General features: G+C 48.0%; 1 pseudogene; it reads right to left on the bottom strand.

Moving 5' to 3' along the window:
* On the bottom strand, positions 262–618 carry LOC100506911 (chromosome 6 open reading frame 35 pseudogene; annotated as a pseudogene).

Below are 881 nucleotides of genomic sequence, written 5' to 3'. Positions count from 1 at the left end.
GGTGTATGGCGCTGGAGGCCTACTTATAAAGGATCCCACTGCCTTGGTGCCAGTCTTGGCCAGGACCCACACTGGGACAGTCAGCAGGAGCTTGAGCGGGGTAGGGGCCGGCTGGGAGTCACTCCAGCACTAAAAACTCACCAGGCGGGAATGTTACTCCTTTCTCATGCCGGAGGAAAGCCTTTGATTGTGGGTCCCGAAGAAAAACGACTTCTCGGGTAGAAAGTTGGTGATGTAGCCTTCAATTAAAATGAGGATATCTCTTACATGTCACTGTGAACCCCTAAAGCTTTCCAGACTGAGAAGCTAATCACACCAACCCCACACCATGCATACAGTGAGCCGCAGCCCAGAGCTCGCAAGGCAAGGGAAGACCCGCTTTCCGGTAATGCAGTCGTGACCATACTTCCCTTATTGAACCATTCAGGGCTTTTCTTTTTAGCCAATGATAATGTTGTAATAAATCCAGCTAGCGTTCCTGCTGCAGCAACAGTACCAAGGAAAATTCCACCTTTAACCAGGAAAAGCCGGTCATCCGTGGACCCGGGAGCCTCCAGCAGAGAGGCCGGCTGCCCAGTACCAGAGCCCGCTGTCTCCATGTTTAGGTCGCCTCTACTGTCTTCTTTTGAGAAGTGTCTGTTCATATCCTTTGCCCACTTTTTGATGGGGTTGTTTTTCTCTTGTATTTGCTTAAATTCTTTGTAGATTCTGGATAGTATGTTTATTGCAGCACTATTCACAATAGAAAAGACTTGGAACCAACCCCAATGCCCATCAATAATAGACTGGATAAAGAAAATGTGCCACATATACACCATGGAATACTATGCAGCCATAAAAAAGGATGAGTTCATGTCCTTTGCAGGGACACGGTTGAAGCT

Source organism: Homo sapiens, chromosome 12 (assembly GCF_000001405.40).
Source record: "Homo sapiens chromosome 12, GRCh38.p14 Primary Assembly".
Taxonomy (NCBI): Eukaryota; Metazoa; Chordata; class Mammalia; order Primates; family Hominidae; genus Homo; species Homo sapiens.
This window is presented reverse-complemented; position numbering and strand designations above follow the sequence as displayed.